We start from the raw sequence: 17,705 nt of genomic DNA, 5'->3' as shown, positions 1-17,705 counted from the left end.
AAAAATTTGTATAATATATATACAAATATATTATATATATTATATAATATATATATTTGTATAATATATATTTATATATATATATATACAGTTTCTAACTTAAAACATACTCTTCATTCATTCATCCATTGAACAAATATTAAGTTTCAATTATGTGCCAGGTAATAGTCTCTTTTAAATACCGCAATGAACAAAGTAAATTTTAAAGCAGAGAGAGAGAGAGAGAGTGTGTGTGTGTGTGTGTGTGTGTGTGTGTAAAATAAAGCCAAGTTTTACTGAGGGAAAAGTGTTTTCTACGTTCCATTTACACATCAAGAGTCAATCCTGGATTATTTGCGACCACAGAGTTTTACAATTAGGTAGTTATAATTAAATTAAGACCCTTGAGGTGTAGAAAGGAAAGAGTATACGGAAGAAGGAAATTTCCATCAGTCAAAAGAAAGATAAAAGGAAAAATTTTGCACTACGAAAAAAGAGTGAGAGAAATAAAAGGGCAAAGCCATCACACTGGAGTGTCCCAAGATCTTAGGGTAAGGATTAAGTGGTGACAACACCTGAATAGATTTGGGAGAGAAATCCCAGTGTAAAGAAGACTTTGTTTTTTCTCAGGATGGAGATAAACATGACAAGCCGCTTAGAAAATCTCTGTGTCAAGCAAGATGTAAGGGCTCCTCTAGCAGATCATCCAGAGCTACAGCAGGGTGTGGAAGTACCTTTCTCAAATCCTTCACACTGTAGATTGGTGCAGAGAAATCAGCCGGGAGTATCTAGCTACCTGAGGTTCAACACAGACATGCTAGGGAACCAGGGGACTAGAATAAGCCTTGAGGTTGGACCAAGGATAAAACCGAAAATAGGAACCTTGAAACTGGAAGCCGTGACTGCAAGTTTGTGCCAGAATGATTCCATAAAAAGGTCAGGTGACGTTTCTCACGATATTGATATGGGAGTGGGGGCAGGGAAGTGCGGGGTAGAGAAGGGCGGGTCTCTGCCTAGCGCCCCACACCCGGGCTTGTTTGTGCCCAGGGACCTAGATGAGGACAGGCATTTCTGTTTTCCCGCCTAAATGTTGCATTTCCCAACACCACCCTGGCCCACCACGCCCCCATCCTGTGCCTATAAAAATCCCAAGACCCTAACGGGCACACACACAAGCGGCTGGACGTTGACAGGAACACGTTGGCGTAAGACACAACGGCTGGACATCGAGAGGAATGCAGCGGCCTAACAGCACACACTGACAGACGCCGCAGGCCAGCAGGCCATCAACCAGCGGAACAACGCACAGTTTGGCGGGTGAGGATGGAGGAGAGTCGCTGCTGAGTGGCCCGACTCCAGGGGAAAACCATCTTCCCACTCCATTTCCCTCTGGCTCCCCCCTCTGCTGAGAGTTATCTCCACTCAATAAATCGTGCTCTCCAAGCCCACGTGTGATCCAGTTCTGGTACTCCAAGGCAAGAAACCCCGGGATACAGAAAGCCCTCTGTCCTTGCGATAAGGCAGGGGGTCTAACTGAGCTAACACAAGCCCCCTACGGATGGCTAAACTAAAAGAGCATACTGTAACACACGCCCACTGGGGTTTCAGCTGTAAACATTCACCCCTAGACCCTGCCATGGGGTCGGAGCCCCACAGCCTGCCCGTCTGCATGCTCCCCCTAGAGGTTTGAGCAGGGGGGCACCAGAGAATTGAGACACACCCCGGTCGCACGCCCCGAGAGCAGGACAAGGGAACTTTTTCTGTTTCAATATCACGGATTTGAGATTCCCTCACCCCACTTTCATTGGGCTTCCCCTGTACCCAGACTACCTCAGAAAATGAGATAAGCATACCTCTTGAAGGATGAGAGAAAAAGTACAATTGAAGAGTTAAACTTTGAATTGATTGAATATTTACCCAAAAGAGACCGAATTAAACCCAGAGGGAATGAGAAATGAATAGTTTATCTAAAATCAGTGCTTTCATCAACCCCAGCATCATTGCAAAAAGCAAAAATAACCAGTTACAGAAAATAAAAGGTCATGTTCTATATGACATCAGAATTGTAGCATATAAAATTTGAGCCATGCTATATTCTTAAGAGGTGGTGTAATGTACATTGTCATTACTTATTCCTAACAAATCCTGGTACCTTTAGACATTTTGGAACTATAAATAGACAACTAAAGTTATAGCTAAGTTCCTAGAATAGGAGGCTCCCATTGACATGGAGTTCATACCCAGAGAGAGAAAAACTGGGTGAACAGCATCCCTTAAAATGCTATCCAACCACATGTGTTTCTGTCTAGGTGTGTTATGCATTATGCTAGATATACACGGAAGCTCTAGGAAGGGAAGCATGATCACTGTATAGAAGAAAACAATTATTCTCATAATGCAGGGCTGAAAATCCCAGCCAGAAAAATCTTGATTCTCACTTAATCTGTTTCATTTAAATTTTTTTCTAACTTAATCAATGCCATCAAATTCTAGTAGTAACCACACTTGATTCAAAAATCTAGAAGTCATCTTTGATTCTTCTCTTTTTCTTATCTGCACAGCCAATCCATCACCAAGTCCTGTTAGTTTTTCTTCCCAAATGTAGCTCAAAGCCACCTACTTCTCCCCTCTGTTGCCACTACCATCTCTTTCCCAGACTACTAAAATAGCCTAGCATCCCTGCTAACACTTTTGTCCCTGACAATTCATTCTTTATAAGGAATCTAAAGTGATTTAAATTATCTATGAACTCCCTTTATAGTTAAAATGAAAACAAAATCCTTACCATGGCTTGACTCCTGAACTTTATTTCCTGTCCCCACTGTTACCCTCCTCTGGTTCTCTAATCCCCAGCAACATTGACCTCCTTTCTGGTCTTCAAAGTGACAAGTTTTGTTTCCCCACAGAGCTTGTGCAGTTGGTATTCCCTCCTTCTTGAAAGTTCTGCCCTGTAGATTTTTACATGGCAAGAAGCTCTTTCTTGTCAACTGGATCACAGCTCAATGACACTTCTTCAAAGAGAACTTCCTGAAGCATCCCATCAAAAGTAGACCTCCTTCCCCCAACATTCCCTTGTTTGCTTGTTTATGGGTATATAATCCAGTTATCTCTTGGGAGTGTAAGAGATACAACACTCTTGAGGGCAACGGTCTTATGTGAGTCTTCTTCATGAGTATATAGGTATTCTATCAATATTGTTCAATGAATGAATGAGTGAATAAATAAATAGGGTAATGAAAAGGAATGGTAACCTTCTTCCCTGCTTCCTTTTCGCTAACTGGGAGTCAAGACACTCCCACTTTCGTCACGACTAGGCAAAGTCACTAGGAATCAGGCAACAAAGAAAACAAAAAATATAGTCTTAAAGAGAAATATGTAAAGGGGTTAAAGGGGAATTAGGGAAAGAAAAATCTTAACTTAGGAAAGAGAAGAAGAGGAGACTTCTTTAAAACATCATGGCATCTCCCTCAATGCTGGCCCTTCAAATTCAGAAATATAAAAGGAAATGGCTATGTTTTACGAAGTATTGTGTAAATTGTATTTTCTGAGTTGAAATATATGAAATCCACTAGGTAATGTGTTACCTAATTGGTGAATCTAAAGAGGATTTACATTACATCAAAGTAAAGATTTCAATCTACCAAGTTCTCATGAAGTAGTATAAGCATGCTAACTAACATGAGATACAATGTTGGATTTCATCTTTTTCACAATTGAAGGATAAACAGGCAATCAGGGTAACAGTGATCAGAAACGAAATACATTGTTTACATTTCAAATTAAAAATTGACCTTAAATAACAGATTTCTTTAAAAATAGCTATTTTAAATGTTTATTAAAATTACTCTGCTCAAGGGACACTTGAAAGACAATGACATGAGAGTACTTGTGTAAAACTTCAGAAGTGTAAAAGTATATGCTTACATTCATACAAATTGACTTGTCAATGACTTTTAAGAGTAGGAATTTAGTATAATTATGCGTAACACATAATTTTTTGTTTTAATTGCAAAATTATTTCATTTGACCATGATTGAACCACTACATAATATGGAAAAACTTGTTTCTTAATCAAAACATATTAACTAGCCTATTAATAATCAGGTTCCTAATGTAGCACCACATTCTGAAATCTAAAAGCTACATTCCTATTATGTTACAGATTAATATCTGTTCTCAGAACTATTTCCAAAAAAAAAATTATTACCAGACATAAACTGTGTAATAAAGGATAATTCCATTTGGCTCCAGGGGTGGTTGCCATGACAACTTCACCGTGACACCAGACAACTGTTTTACAGAGAAGTCTTGAGGGGGAGAATCAGGAGCTGTAAAGTTAGGGTATAGAATAATGTGTTTTATTAAACATATATAAGAAAAAGTTAACATGGAAATGCACACAATTTTTATTATAAACTTTCTGGTAAAGGAATTAGGTTCAGTGCTTTTCTCCAGAAGCACAAGAGACTGTTTACTTTCAAAATGAGATGATAAAGGAAGATTTTGCATGGTGGTATTAGAACATCTGTTTCTGTGATTCAATGGAAAAAAATATTTCATGAGAAAGAAGAACAAGGGGTATGTCACAGTGACTCACCTACTGTTCAAGTACATCTTGGTCAACTGTCATCCTCTAATAAAAATAAAAATTTTATTGAGGGTGAATAAATATACAGTAAAAGAGATCCCTAGACAATAAAAAAGAGGTGGGAAAAAAATCACACATCCAAGAAGTTGGGAAAGTGATAAGCATAACATTGAGAAAGCAGTTAAAATGACTGACCTCACAAATGATGAAAACTACATTCCTCAATCTCTGTTGTGTCATTAAAAAGTAAAATAATATCAAACTCTGTTCACTCAGTCTTCAAAATTGAATGGTTTACAAAGGAAATGCCAATGTAGCACGTAAATAAGAAAATAGTTTAGAATCTACTTGTAACTCTGCTGTAATAGTGTAAAATATAAATACATTTGCTATTTGGCATTGAATAAGCAATAAAAACATTACTGCAAAATAGTCAGCCAACTTTATATTTCCATTTAGGTAAAACATTTAGAATGACATTTCTCAGCTGCTGTGTAATAACACAGTAATGTCTTAGAATAATGGAATACAACTTTTTACATGTAAAAAAGGAAAACACTAAAATTTGGTTCATTGTTACAGTTATGCACGGAATGTGAATTCGTAGGTAGCTAACAGAAATTCTGAGAATTTGTTTACATCTTTAAACAATGTCAATTGAAATACAGTTCATATACAGATCACTATTTCCAATAATTTGGACAGAATGCTACCTGACTTACTTCAATATTTTTTCTTTTTTACTTCTCTGAATAATCTCAGCTGTAGTTGTATGTGTTCCCATGTGTGCATGTTTTCATTATTTAACTAACAATAATTTTCCAAAAAAATTTTATTGAGCAGCAGAAAGTTTATGAGACAAGTTATAAGGAATAATAGTGATAGCTGTATTTGGTATTTTCATTCTGTTATTTTCACTGGCACTATAATAATGTTGCTATCAAATATTGATTATCACAGGAATGTATACATCAGTTAGAGATGTCTGTTTCCCAAGATAAGAATTATCTCTGAAAATTCTCTTTCATTTGTCAAAGCAAATACCTATAAATATTTTTCCTAGCATCCTTGTAAAATCTGTTTATTGTTTACAAAAAGGACTTCAATTAAAAATAGCAGTAACTTAGAAACTAATATGTTGCAACTAACCATTTCTACTCTATAATATGCTTTAAGATGCTTATGTGGAATACCAGATAAAGCGTGGTGTCTTTAAAAGCTAACCTTCAGTAGATCTCCGAATATTTTATTCTTAATGTAAAACATTTTATTGCTAAGTAAACGTAATTAACATGTCTATCTAAAAAAATCACTGTACATCCACTGTAGCAGACTAAGTTTTAATCATTTTGGCATATGTATTCTAAAATATTTTGGCACATGTATTCTAAAATACAATCTAACAAAATTGAAACTAGAAAAATTAGAACTTTTGCAGTGCATTCAATTTGTCATCTCAGAGCATCTCAAGGTAGCTGAGAAGAAACTTCACAATCTGTCACTCCTCTACCTGGCATGAGGACTTCACAAATCTCTCACTCCTCTACCTGGCATGATCTTTCCTATTTCTCACCCTCCCTCTTTATTCATTTTCATGTCACAGCTTCGACATAACTTCCACCGCTACGCTTTACCTCACACCCCAGAGTAACTTAGGTCCTTCTTTTGTCCTGGTGAATAATTTGGGGGAACATTTATACCAGTAATTAAAAATCATAAAAATTATTTGTCCACACATTTGTCAAATTTAGGTCTCTTGTTCTAACCGTGAGCTTCATGAGGGCAAGGAGTTCCTAATTCCCAAAGAGGCAAATGTTCTCAGATCTTTATCCATTCTCGATTTTCTGTAATTTTTCAACAAGGGAGTCTTGTTCTTTACCCTGTTCCTTAGAAATCATATGACTTGGCCAAGAATTTAGATGGAACTTTACCTTGAGGAAGCATATTTTTAACAGCCCAGGTAATTCAGATGCACAACATACTTTGGAACTATTGACTTGAGTGGTAAAACGTCTGCCTGCTCAAAATATATGTTCACTACTGGTCTCATTCCATCATATAAGATCTCAAATTCTTACCATTAGGAACTTTTGATTAGATTAGTTATAAAGAAGTGGGTACTATTTTCAAAAAGGCATTGGTAAAATTTTTACTACATATAATCTTAGGTATTACATAAGATAGAAAAGAGCACTAACTTTCTTCCCTAGTTTTTAACCATTGACTCATTTGGAAGGTTTTTTTATTAAGATAATTTTAACTTTCAGAGCAAGGAGAATCTATTTATGAAGAAAAATTGGAATTTGGGCAGGTAAGTTTTGATGGAAAAGCAAGCATTAGTAAGTAGATGCAATGATTAGGGAAAACTGACCCACAGAGGCAGCCCACTTAGAAACTGGGGCAACACAGACAGCCCTAGCCAAGATGCTTTGGTAGAGGTTAAAACATGGAGAGACCTGCAAAAAGAGAAGAGGGATTTGAAGACTTTATTATTTTGAAAAGAAAGAGAGCAATGCAGGGAAAAGTCTCCCTTCCTAGCAGTGTCTAAGCACATTCTGCCCTTAACAGTCACAGGCTATGGCCTAGCTTGAAGATGGGGAAACTTGAAAGAAAGAAAGATGAAAAAGAAAAGATACTCCACAAACACGTATGATACTTCCAGGCCTACCCTTCTTGGAAATAGGAATTCCTTTTACAGAAAAAAATAATAATTTTCTTTAAATATGCAATGTATAAAACATAAAATGCAAATCCTAACCCAAATATATCTTTCAGAAGTTATATTCTTAGCATAATATATGTCTAACTTGGTAAGGTATCAATGTAAAGTGGCCTCAGTAGTAAAGTTGACTTTATTTGGGTTAGGGAAAGGTATGTTTAAATATTCAGTATGAAAGCTACTAACTTTGGGGAATAGCATCTTGTCCAATTATGCAGAAGCCTGTACAATAGCCTGATCTCATTATCAAGTTAATCATTAATATCGTAAAAAAGTGCTGAACATTTACATAAACATAATCTGCTTCAAAGCTCATGTTAATGTCTATTCTTAAAAATGTAAAAGTTGAAAAACTCAGTCATGACATATATCAGTTAACGTTCAAACCAAATTTTAAGCCTTGAAAATCCCCATGGAAAAACATGACTGACTGTTTTTTACAGAGTACTGATGACTTCAGAAAATAAAAAACATTTTATGCCTGATTTCACTGAATGTAAATCTGATGTTGCTAGCTTCTTTTATACCATGACAATGAAATCTCTGTATAACGCTGGTATGGTACACAACTGATACCCATGACTAGAGGAGTTTTTACATTGTTTCATTCTATACGTGTGTTTCTTGGAATGTTATAGAATCAAAGTATATCAATATCCACTATTATATTTACCATCTTCCTCCGTCAGTATACTTATGGGAGCACTCCGAACTCCTTCACCTTTGAGTGTACTAGCAGACACCTCAATGATATATTGGGTATATTTCTTCAGTACTAAAGAGAAATCAAATAGGTAAGTTGAAACTTACAAAATATCATTTAATAATATGCAAGAGGCAAACTATGAAATGGCTGTCAACACAATCTTCCAAAAATAAAAACTAAGTGAAAATGTCATTCTTTGGCAATAGTAGCTCTTATTTATGAAGACAAAATGATATAGGATAATGTGGAAAAGGATGGATCTATAGTATTCTTTCATGTGACCTGCAATAAACTCCTAGCTTATTTAACCAAAAAGACAAAATTGTAATACCCTGCATGAAAATAATCTGAAACTATTAACATTAAACTAATATTTGTGGCTACTCTGTCATTATAAATGCAAATATCCAATATTAGATTTGTTCTTTTACCTTTAATGTTTTGGGTTAAAGAGGTTGTATTTATAGTTCTTTCCTCATTTCCATTACTTCTCTTGAGATAAATTGTATATTTTTGTATGATTCCATTGGGACTACTTGGGGGAAGGAATGATAGCTCAATCTCTCCAGAAGAAATATTTTTGTAAGTGATATTTTCTGGTGCACTATCAGGCACTGAAAGAAACAAAAATATAGATACATAAAACAATTCCATTCTAAAAATCTATTCTGCTGAAATTGTCACTGAAGTGCACTAGGTTATTTACAATTGAACCTTCACTAGAATGTAATCGTAATAAATATCCTGAATGAAGTAAAGTATAAATAAATTACAGTTCTTACAACTGTATAAGAAAAATTTTCATTCAAAAGAAAATGCTACTATGATTCCACAGAATAACAGTTATAAGATGATACGTTTACTAAAATACTTGGAACTATAGGAACATATCTTGCACTGAAGAACACACAGATGCAAGAAAGAGAATTTTAAAACATTTAAAACTTGATTCTACTTCTCATTAATAATAATATGAAAAAAAGATCAGTAGGTTAGTTTTGGTCGACAGCAAGGTCTGTGACAAGGCAAGGAGCCCCTCCTGGATGTGAGGTTGCATATTATGACCTGGCAGCAAAACCATCTCCCAAGAATATGGGATATCATTAAGTAAAACACTAGTTTTCTGTATCTAACAACATTTTTATACTGAATACATTATGCATAAAATGGTTTTCTATGTATATTTGAGTACAAAACTATATACAAGATTCTAATTCCGGTAAAATATTGGAACAGATACCCTAAACTGAGTGAATATCTTACTTAAAATAACTAAAACTCTGTATAACATTAAAATAAATTTTCTTTAAGAAGTTGTGGTGCTGAAAAGAAAGTTAGAATTCAGTGGTGACTGGCCAAAAAAAGTCACAGAAAAACAAACAAGTAAACAAAATGCAAAGACAGAAATCCTGAGAAGGAAGCTGATACTAAAGCCAGTTTTGCCTTGCCATAGATTGGTTAATCCTGGTGCCTTTGCATTTGTATAGTAACATATGTGTAGTGTGTCAGAGAAAGACTATAAAACCCTGGGGCCCGCTGAAAGATGAGTGATATCCCTGCAGAAAGACCTGAAACCCCCAAAGAATGCAACTTTAACCAGGGTTATTATACTGAAAAATTCTAGGGGATACTTCAGATTCTTCTGCATGTACCATAGAAGTCTATGTGAATGGTAACTCCTGGTCTTGTGCAATGTGATGCATTCATTCTCAGGAAATGGGAAGTGAGAAATAAATCTACCATGCAGAGAGGACAGAAAGGAAACCTTCTTTCTCTGTTGCCACTCCTCTGGGTGGAGAGATAGAAAAGAAATAAATAATATGCTGTTTTGGAATTATAAGCCTATTCCTATGATCATATGTTGACTAAATCCATGATATCTATATGTACCCTGAAGAAACCTCCACTTCAGAATTTAAAATAAAACTGTAGTCCTGAGCTGCTATTACTCCTAAGCAACTAGAAGTAAATAAAAATACTTGCTGGAGGAACTCAACTTCAACACAAACCACATAAATTTCTCACAGCTAAAGTTTCAAAGAATATGAGCTCACTGATAAAATCGCTAAACACACAAGCAAATCAGATATCAATAGTGAAAGTCAGCAAAGAAAAGAAAAAGAAAACACACACACACATACACAGTAGTCAGATTTTGAGATTCCAGATATTGAAATAAAATAGAAATGTTTAATGTGTTTCAAGAAATCAAACATATTTTAAAATATGAGCAAATAATTATTTAAATAATGGTAAATAATATTAAATAACCAAGCAAGTTTGAAAGAGAACAAGATAGACCTTCTGGAACAGAACAAAATAACTAAAATTAAAAATCTCTTGAGGTATTAAAGAGCAGATTAGATAAAGAAGAAGAGAACTTTAGTGAAAAGGATGATAGTATTGAAGAAATTATCAAGAATGTAGATCAAAGAAGACAGTTATGGAAAATATAAAATGGCAGTTGAGACATAGATGATATCCGGAGGGGGTCTAAAATAGTAGAGAAAATGAAGAAATATTTAAAGGGATAATGGCTGAGGCTCATCAAAATTATTCAACGACATCAAACATCAGATCAAATAATTTCAGTAAATCTCAAGCAGAAATTTTTAAACCATATTTAGACATATCATTGTGAAAATACAGAATATCAAAAAAGGAACCATCTTAACAGTACCAGAAAAAAAAAATCTTCTACATAGGAATGACAATTAGACTGACAATCAACATCAACTGAAAAACAACTGGAATTCCATACCCAGAAAAATAAAGAGTAGCAAACTAAAAACATATTCAGACAATAAAAAAAATTGAGGGATAATGCTTTCAACACATCCTCAGTAAATGAAATTGTAGACAATGTACTTTAGGTAGAAAACTATTTACCACAGATGAAAGATCAGAGTGGCCAAGATAATGGTTTAAAAATTGAGTACATAGAACAATAACATAAATAATTAACTTGGAGGGTTAAACAATATAAACTAAATAGGTAAATATTATTGCCATTCAAGAGTTCTGTTATAAAACTCTTTTCTTTCAAATGAAAGAAATTAAACTTTTTATTAGTATTCTAAATTGAATGCATATAAAAATTACTAATAATAAATTTAGTAGATAAATAAAATTCAGAAGCCTTAAAAATGTAGATACAGTGTCCCTCCCCTTGATTGTTACCAGTTATTGGGTTATGGTGTCAAGGCACACTTAATAGGAAAAACTAATTTAAGAATATTGATACTTTTAAAACTTTGAGAGGATTGCAATTCAATGCATAGTTCGATTTAGCAATATAATTCCACTATCCTTTCTATCTGAAATGTGCTAAATCTTCTCTAGTGTTTCCCCAGGCCAACCCATTACATTGAGGAAAATCCTCAACAACTACCCTCAATGCTTTCTTAACTTTCTAGCTCTAAGTGAAATCTTGGACCTGCTGAGAAATACTACTACAGTTTAGCCCTCTTGGGTATCATGTTTGTTTTTCTACCATAGTCTCACTAACGATAGGGTGTAGGAGTTGGGTAGTTGCATTTATTACTCCTTTTTTCTTCCTGAAGAACCACAGATCCTTTGAAGCCCCATTCCATTAGATACCATCACGTGCTACCCCTCTTTAAGACAGACAACTGGTAATACCTCTGTCACTTCTCTGAACATCTTAAAGATGCTATCACTTTGATAACTGACTTCTTCCCTACTACTCAGAGAGGCCAACTTCCATGCAAATGATCTATCCAGTTCCCTGGACTCTGTATTTCTTTATCTCTATAATTCCAATAATCTTTTCCCCCACCTTACTTTACCCCACCGTACCTCATTGGCTTTCATGGCAACACCTAAGACTTTGTCATTACCAATAACTGCCAATATTCCTCTCTTTGACAACTGACTCCTATCTTTCCAGTTTACTGACTCTTGTACTTTGAATCCAACAATTCTCTGACCCTCATCAAATCTTCACTGTGCATCACCTCTCTTATGCCTTCATTTCCCTACATGCTCAGGCTAGAGTCCACAGTCACTGTAATCACTTCCTAGCAATATCCATCAGGTCCTTCTGTTTCTATTTTACTTTCCTGGGAAAATTACAATTGGAATTAAACAAAACTCTGCTAGCTTCACATGCCCAGTGTAATAGCTGAAAATGGCTGAATAAAACACCATTCTATGCTGACTAGTTCCACTTAAATTTATAACATCAAATCTCAAATGGATCCTTTTCATTTCCTGATAGCTAATGTTTTTGTTTTAGTTAATTCAGTCTCCCACTCTTTAAAGTATGTTTTCACCATGTTCTCTCTTCACAAACCTCTGATATGCCCTCCCCCTCTTTATTTGAAGCTAATAAACTTGCTTCTCATTCCATAGCAAAAATAAAAACACTGAGAAGAGAGCTACATTATCATCTGACTTCAAATTTTCCCTTAACTGCCTTCCCTCTTTCCTCCTTTCCAAGCTCTATCCCTCCACGTCTGCACTGGATTTCACTCCTTCTGCCTATTCAGAGACTTTACATTTGAAGTTAGTCAGAGATACATGTGAACACACATACACTGTAATATACAGTCTGGGATTTAAAAAGTCTTCTTTTGATTGCACTTGTTCCTTCAGCTATTACTGAAGTCTACTCTCCACTTCTTATCAAAATTCCTCAAAATTTGCCATTCCTCATTTTCTACATTTTTTTTTGCCTATCATACTCTGTTAATCTGACTTCATTTTTCTCCATTATTTTTTCTGTAAAATCTACTCCTGTGAAGTCACCAATGACCTCCCTTCTTGCCAAACACTAATCAATTGTATGCCCCATCTTACTTTACTTGTCAGCAGCATGTGACATAGGGAATAAACTCCTTCTACTTGAAAATCTTTATTCACTTGGCTTTGAAGGCACTATCTTCTTCTGGTTTTCCTTCTATTTCCAGTGACTTCTGCTTTGTCCTTGATTAGCTCTTCTACTTCTCAAAGTCTATGTGTGGTATTGCCCACGACATAGCTGTAAGCTTCTTAACGTCTCCCCCTGTTGTCCAGTGATATGACTTTATCCTCATCCCTTGATTGAATACCAAAGATGTGGTGAGGCTCCAAATTATATATTCAGCTCTGTATCTTTTCCCTGAGCTTTAAACTTATTTATCTAACTGCCTTCATAATGGCACTTGGATATTTCAAACATGTTGCAAACAGAACTCCTGGATGTTCTCCATATTGACCTCTTCCCTGGACTGCCCCATCTAAGTAAATGGCACTACCACTCACCCAGATACTCAGACAAACAATCTAATAGTTTATCTTCATTTTTCTCTTTACTTCAACATTCAACATATTCAGCAGCAATCTTTGAAAACTGTAAATCATATAATGTTCCTATTCCATAATTCTCCAAAAGCTCCTCATTAAAATTAAACTCCAAAGTTCCTAGAATGGCACCTAAGAATCTCAGGATCCACCTCTGCCTCTCGCCTCATCTGTGAATTCTCTACCCCAACTCACACTGTTCAAGTGACAGAAATGCCCTGCTCTGCCCCAACTCCACAATTTTTTTCCTCTATAAGAAGTTGGCAATTGCTGTTCTTCCTCTGGAACACTTTTCATCCTCATCCTCATCTTATTCAATCCTGTACCTCATTAATATCACTGGGCAAATATAACCTCTCAGTGAGGTCTTTCCTCAGTCCTCCATCTCAAATAGCCCACTCACTACTCTTCCTCTCTTCTATCCTTGATATTTTTCACTTAGTAAAACTTACCACTACCAAAAATCACAAATTTGTTTACTGATTTATTTTCTAATGTCTAATTTTCTGATTGTCTAGTGTCAAGTTTCAGGAAGGTAGAGATTTATTGTGTCTTGTTTACTGCTACAGCTACACTACCTAGTACGGTGGTAGAACATAATATGGAACCCATAAAAGCTGTTTAGTGAATGAATCAATATATTTAATATGATACAGAATATATTAAAACAAGAGAGAAACTCACAGGTAAGGAACAGATAGATAAAAGATTGGGTTTAAAAACTCTTTAATTACAAAAAGGGAATTTGTGATGCTATGCTTGAATTTTATAGCTCGGTGTAACTTCTGATTTTGAAAATTTCCCATTAGATTGAAGTTTTCTCTCTGCAGTTGTCTGCCTACCACCAGTAGTCAGTGTGTAAATATGTATTCCTGACCCAAGGCTGATATCCTTTGCATTTTTATTCATTTACCCTTAGGGAATAACTAGTGCTGGATCATCAGGTAGATAAAGCAAGACAGACTCAATGACTTACTGATTTTGAAGAGTAATGACGCATTTAGAATTTTCTGAAATAGCAGAGTGTCCCCGAATTATAGAAATATTTTATAAAGTAGATAACTGATGGATAAAAAGGAATGATTATAATCAGTTGGAATAAGCTGAACCTATTAAAATTCCAAAACAGAAAAAATACATAGTCCATGATGATAGTAAAAAAGGGAAGTTACCTTGAATCTGCCAAAAGACTATTGTTTGGCATATAAAGCTTTAATGTATGCAGACAAATTTTAAAATGTTATTCATTAATACAAATAAATTTATGGGGGTCTACACAAAATTTTGGTCAACATCTAAGTTATTATCCACTCATGGTTGTTGCCCCAAATCAGACAAGGTGTTTTGTTAAAGGCTTACAGTAAAGATGGTTGTGTCTTAAAAAGGAAAGGGAATATGTATAGATCATCAAAAGAGTAATTTGTATGGGAACTTCTCAAAGTTGTATTTATGATTATTACACCCTAAGTATGAGAAAATAAAAACTAATCTTAGGCTTATTGGAAAACTGCACATCTATGATTAAAACACACACAAACACACACAGAGATACACACACACACACACAGAATCAATCTTGTATTGATCTTTCCTGCTTGAACACAAGGGTGTTTTACTTCCAAGCATTAGTAAACTCTATTTCTCTTAAAAAGATAAGGCATTTAACCAAATAACTTACTCCTATTTTTAATTAGTAATATTAACACATCACTGAGTTAACACATCACTCAATTTCTCATGAAACAATATTGAAGAGTGGGCCCATATTTTTTTACATGAATAGAAGGTATAATTACTGTATTTAATAAGATTATTTTGGGCCTAAACCCAGAAAAATAGTTGCTCTTGAGCTCATCTTGCTTCAAATGACACTTGAGACCCTACCTAACATTTTAGCTTCCTCTTTTGCCAAAGGAGCTAAAGTGGGTGGTTTAACAGTAGCAAACATAATCTAGGAAAAGTCACTAATGTAGATTCCATTGTCTTCCATTTTCATCCAGGTGGAAAATGCACAGAACTTGAGACTACCCTAACTTAGGACAGAGAACCAGATATTAGGAAGATGGGCATTAAACCCTATACTCTGATTGTTAGGCCTGGCTAGGAAGCCATGGGATATGTTGGTTTCCCCTTCTCTTTATTTTTTTAGCCATCTCAGGAGCCTATTAAGTGAGGCCTGTAATGGGGGTCAGGAGGCCTATAGTCAAGCCCCAATTTACTTCTCATGTACTATAACTTGTGAGTCCTTTTACCCAAATGGTCCTAGGTCTTCTCACCTAAAAAATAAAGGGCTCTGCATGTTTTCTAAGACACTTTCCAAAATTAAAATTCTCATTTTAAACTAAATCTCAAAATTTATATTCACTTAAAGTTTATTGTCCCTGCCTTTGAATTAAACTCATACAGACAATAAAACAGAAAATAAAATTACATTTTCAATACTAAGTAAAAGATTATGTGCATGTAATAATCAGAAAACAAAAACATTGCTTTATAATTCATCATTAAAATAAGGTGTTCTTGATGCTATGGCCACTTAAACGAAATACTTGATAAGCATTCATAAAAATGGTTATTATTTCATATCACAATAGAATCTTTCAAAGTTATTACTTTCCTCCCCATGCTGAGCAGAAGCCTAATGACAAAATATCAGTGTAACAATGAACAGAGAGATCTTAGATATAGTTTATAATTTACCAGCTTTGTTGATTACTTCAAAAACAGCATGTGCTGTGAAAGGGAAATGGGTTTTACAGTCAGATGGGTTTGGATTCTAATTCCAGCTCATCACTTTCCAGCTGATCACTTTCCAGCTGGTGCCATTAGGCAATGAAACACCCACCAACTAATAAAACTTAAGGAGGGAAGGAAATCCTTTTCTTCTACACTACTTTATCCCCAGTAAGGCCTGGTATATTATAAATATTTTTTGAATGAATGAACCTCTCAAACCCTCCATTTTTCGTTAGACTTAGTTTTCTGTGAAGATAACAATAATGTATTGCTTTAGTTTAGAATTTTTAAAAGACAGTTTCTGTGAAACCTATCAACAGGGCCCGTGACCCTTAATAGGTGCTAAAAATATGCTTGTTTCATTTCCTTAATCCACTGCAAAATAAAACTGAGTCATTAAAGAGCAGACATTTTTCTCAAAAATACTTATTTCAGGTACAATATCTACAAAAGCAATGAAACATGCCAATATATGGATTAATATCAATTAAGTGTCACTTCAAGGCTCTTGATAATGTAAAATGCTCCTTTCATTACTTTCTTATTCCTGCACTTTCAACTACTGCCATTATCTATGGGCTCTTTTGTATCATCTCATTGTATTCATTTCTGTGAATAGTCTCAACAGGATCCTTTTCTACAAAAGTAAGCTACTTTACTAGATTTCTAGATCCTCAAGGTCAAGACAGAAATTCGTATATAGTATCTGGCTGAACTATATGAAATTGCTGATATTTGGCCATTTGTGACCTATAAAAATTATTTCATGTGGTTCCACCAGTATCTAGTCAGTAAATATTTATTGTTTTAAACGTACAATTAAAATAGTAACTTTATATTTAGTTATTAATTCTCAAAATACATTGTAGAATTGGCCTAATAGTTATGCCACCAATATATAATTATAACACAATATAAACAACAAAATAAGATTAACAGACAAACTGTCTTACTCTAGTTTCACCGAAACTAAAACACAAGTAATTCCTTGCTTGTTTTACTTCCTTTAGATGGGATATCCTCTCCCAACCCATCCAGCAACCTCTATAACAGGGGTCCCCAATCCCAGCGCCACGGACTAGTACCAGCTGGTGGCCTGTTAGGAACTGGGCCACACAGCAGGTGAGCATCATAAAGCTTCTGTATTTACAGCCACTCCCTATCGCCTGAATTACTGCCTGAGCTCTGCCTCCTGTCAGATCAGTGTCGACATTAGATTTTCATTGGAGCGCAAACTCTATTGTGAATTGCCCATGCAAGGGATCTATGTTGTGTGCTTCTTATGAGAATTTAATGCCTGATGATCTGTCATTGTCTCCCATTACCCCCCAGATAGGACCATCTAGTTGCAGGAAAACAAGCTCAGGGCTCCCATTGATTCTGCATTATGGTGAGTTGTATAATTATTTCATTATATGTTACAATGTAATAATAATAGAAATAAAGTGCACAACAAACGTAACGTGCTTGAATCATCCAGAAACCAACCTCACTCCCCTCCCTAGTCCGGAGGGAGGGGAAAAATTGTCTTCCATGAAACTGGTCCCCAGTGCCAAAAAGGTTGGGGACCCCTGCTCTATAACATCCTTCTGCCCATTCCAACCTCCTCATTAAGATCCAGGCCAAATGCTGTCTCCTCCATAAGTCTTCTCCAGGCATGCCATTTTTGTGCT

At 35.4% G+C, this 17,705-nt stretch overlaps 1 protein-coding gene and 1 long non-coding RNA gene across 2 annotated transcripts in view; one reads left to right on the top strand and one right to left on the bottom strand.

The window, feature by feature from the left end:
• PTPRQ (protein tyrosine phosphatase receptor type Q) overlaps positions 1–17,705 on the bottom strand; it is a 236,039-nt gene that overhangs the window by 165,644 nt on the left and 52,690 nt on the right. Inside the window, exons 15-17 of the mRNA NM_001145026.2 lie at positions 8,424–8,606; positions 7,960–8,061; positions 4,187–4,307 (exon numbers count right to left, since the gene is read on the bottom strand). Of these exons, the coding sequence (NP_001138498.1) occupies positions 4,187–4,307; positions 7,960–8,061; positions 8,424–8,606 (406 nt within the window). The remainder of the gene's footprint in view (positions 1–4,186; positions 4,308–7,959; positions 8,062–8,423; positions 8,607–17,705) is intronic.
• Positions 1,147–17,398, top strand: LOC124902975 (uncharacterized). Its single transcript, XR_007063389.1, has 3 exons — positions 1,147–1,296; positions 17,043–17,154; positions 17,365–17,398. It is a non-coding gene; the product is annotated as an uncharacterized LOC124902975 (long non-coding RNA).

The sequence above is a fragment of the Homo sapiens genome, chromosome 12 (assembly GCF_000001405.40).
Source record: "Homo sapiens chromosome 12, GRCh38.p14 Primary Assembly".
Lineage (NCBI taxonomy): Eukaryota > Metazoa > Chordata > Mammalia > Primates > Hominidae > Homo > Homo sapiens.
The sequence above is the reverse complement of the archived record's forward strand: the minus strand, read 5'-3'. Positions and strand labels throughout refer to the sequence as shown.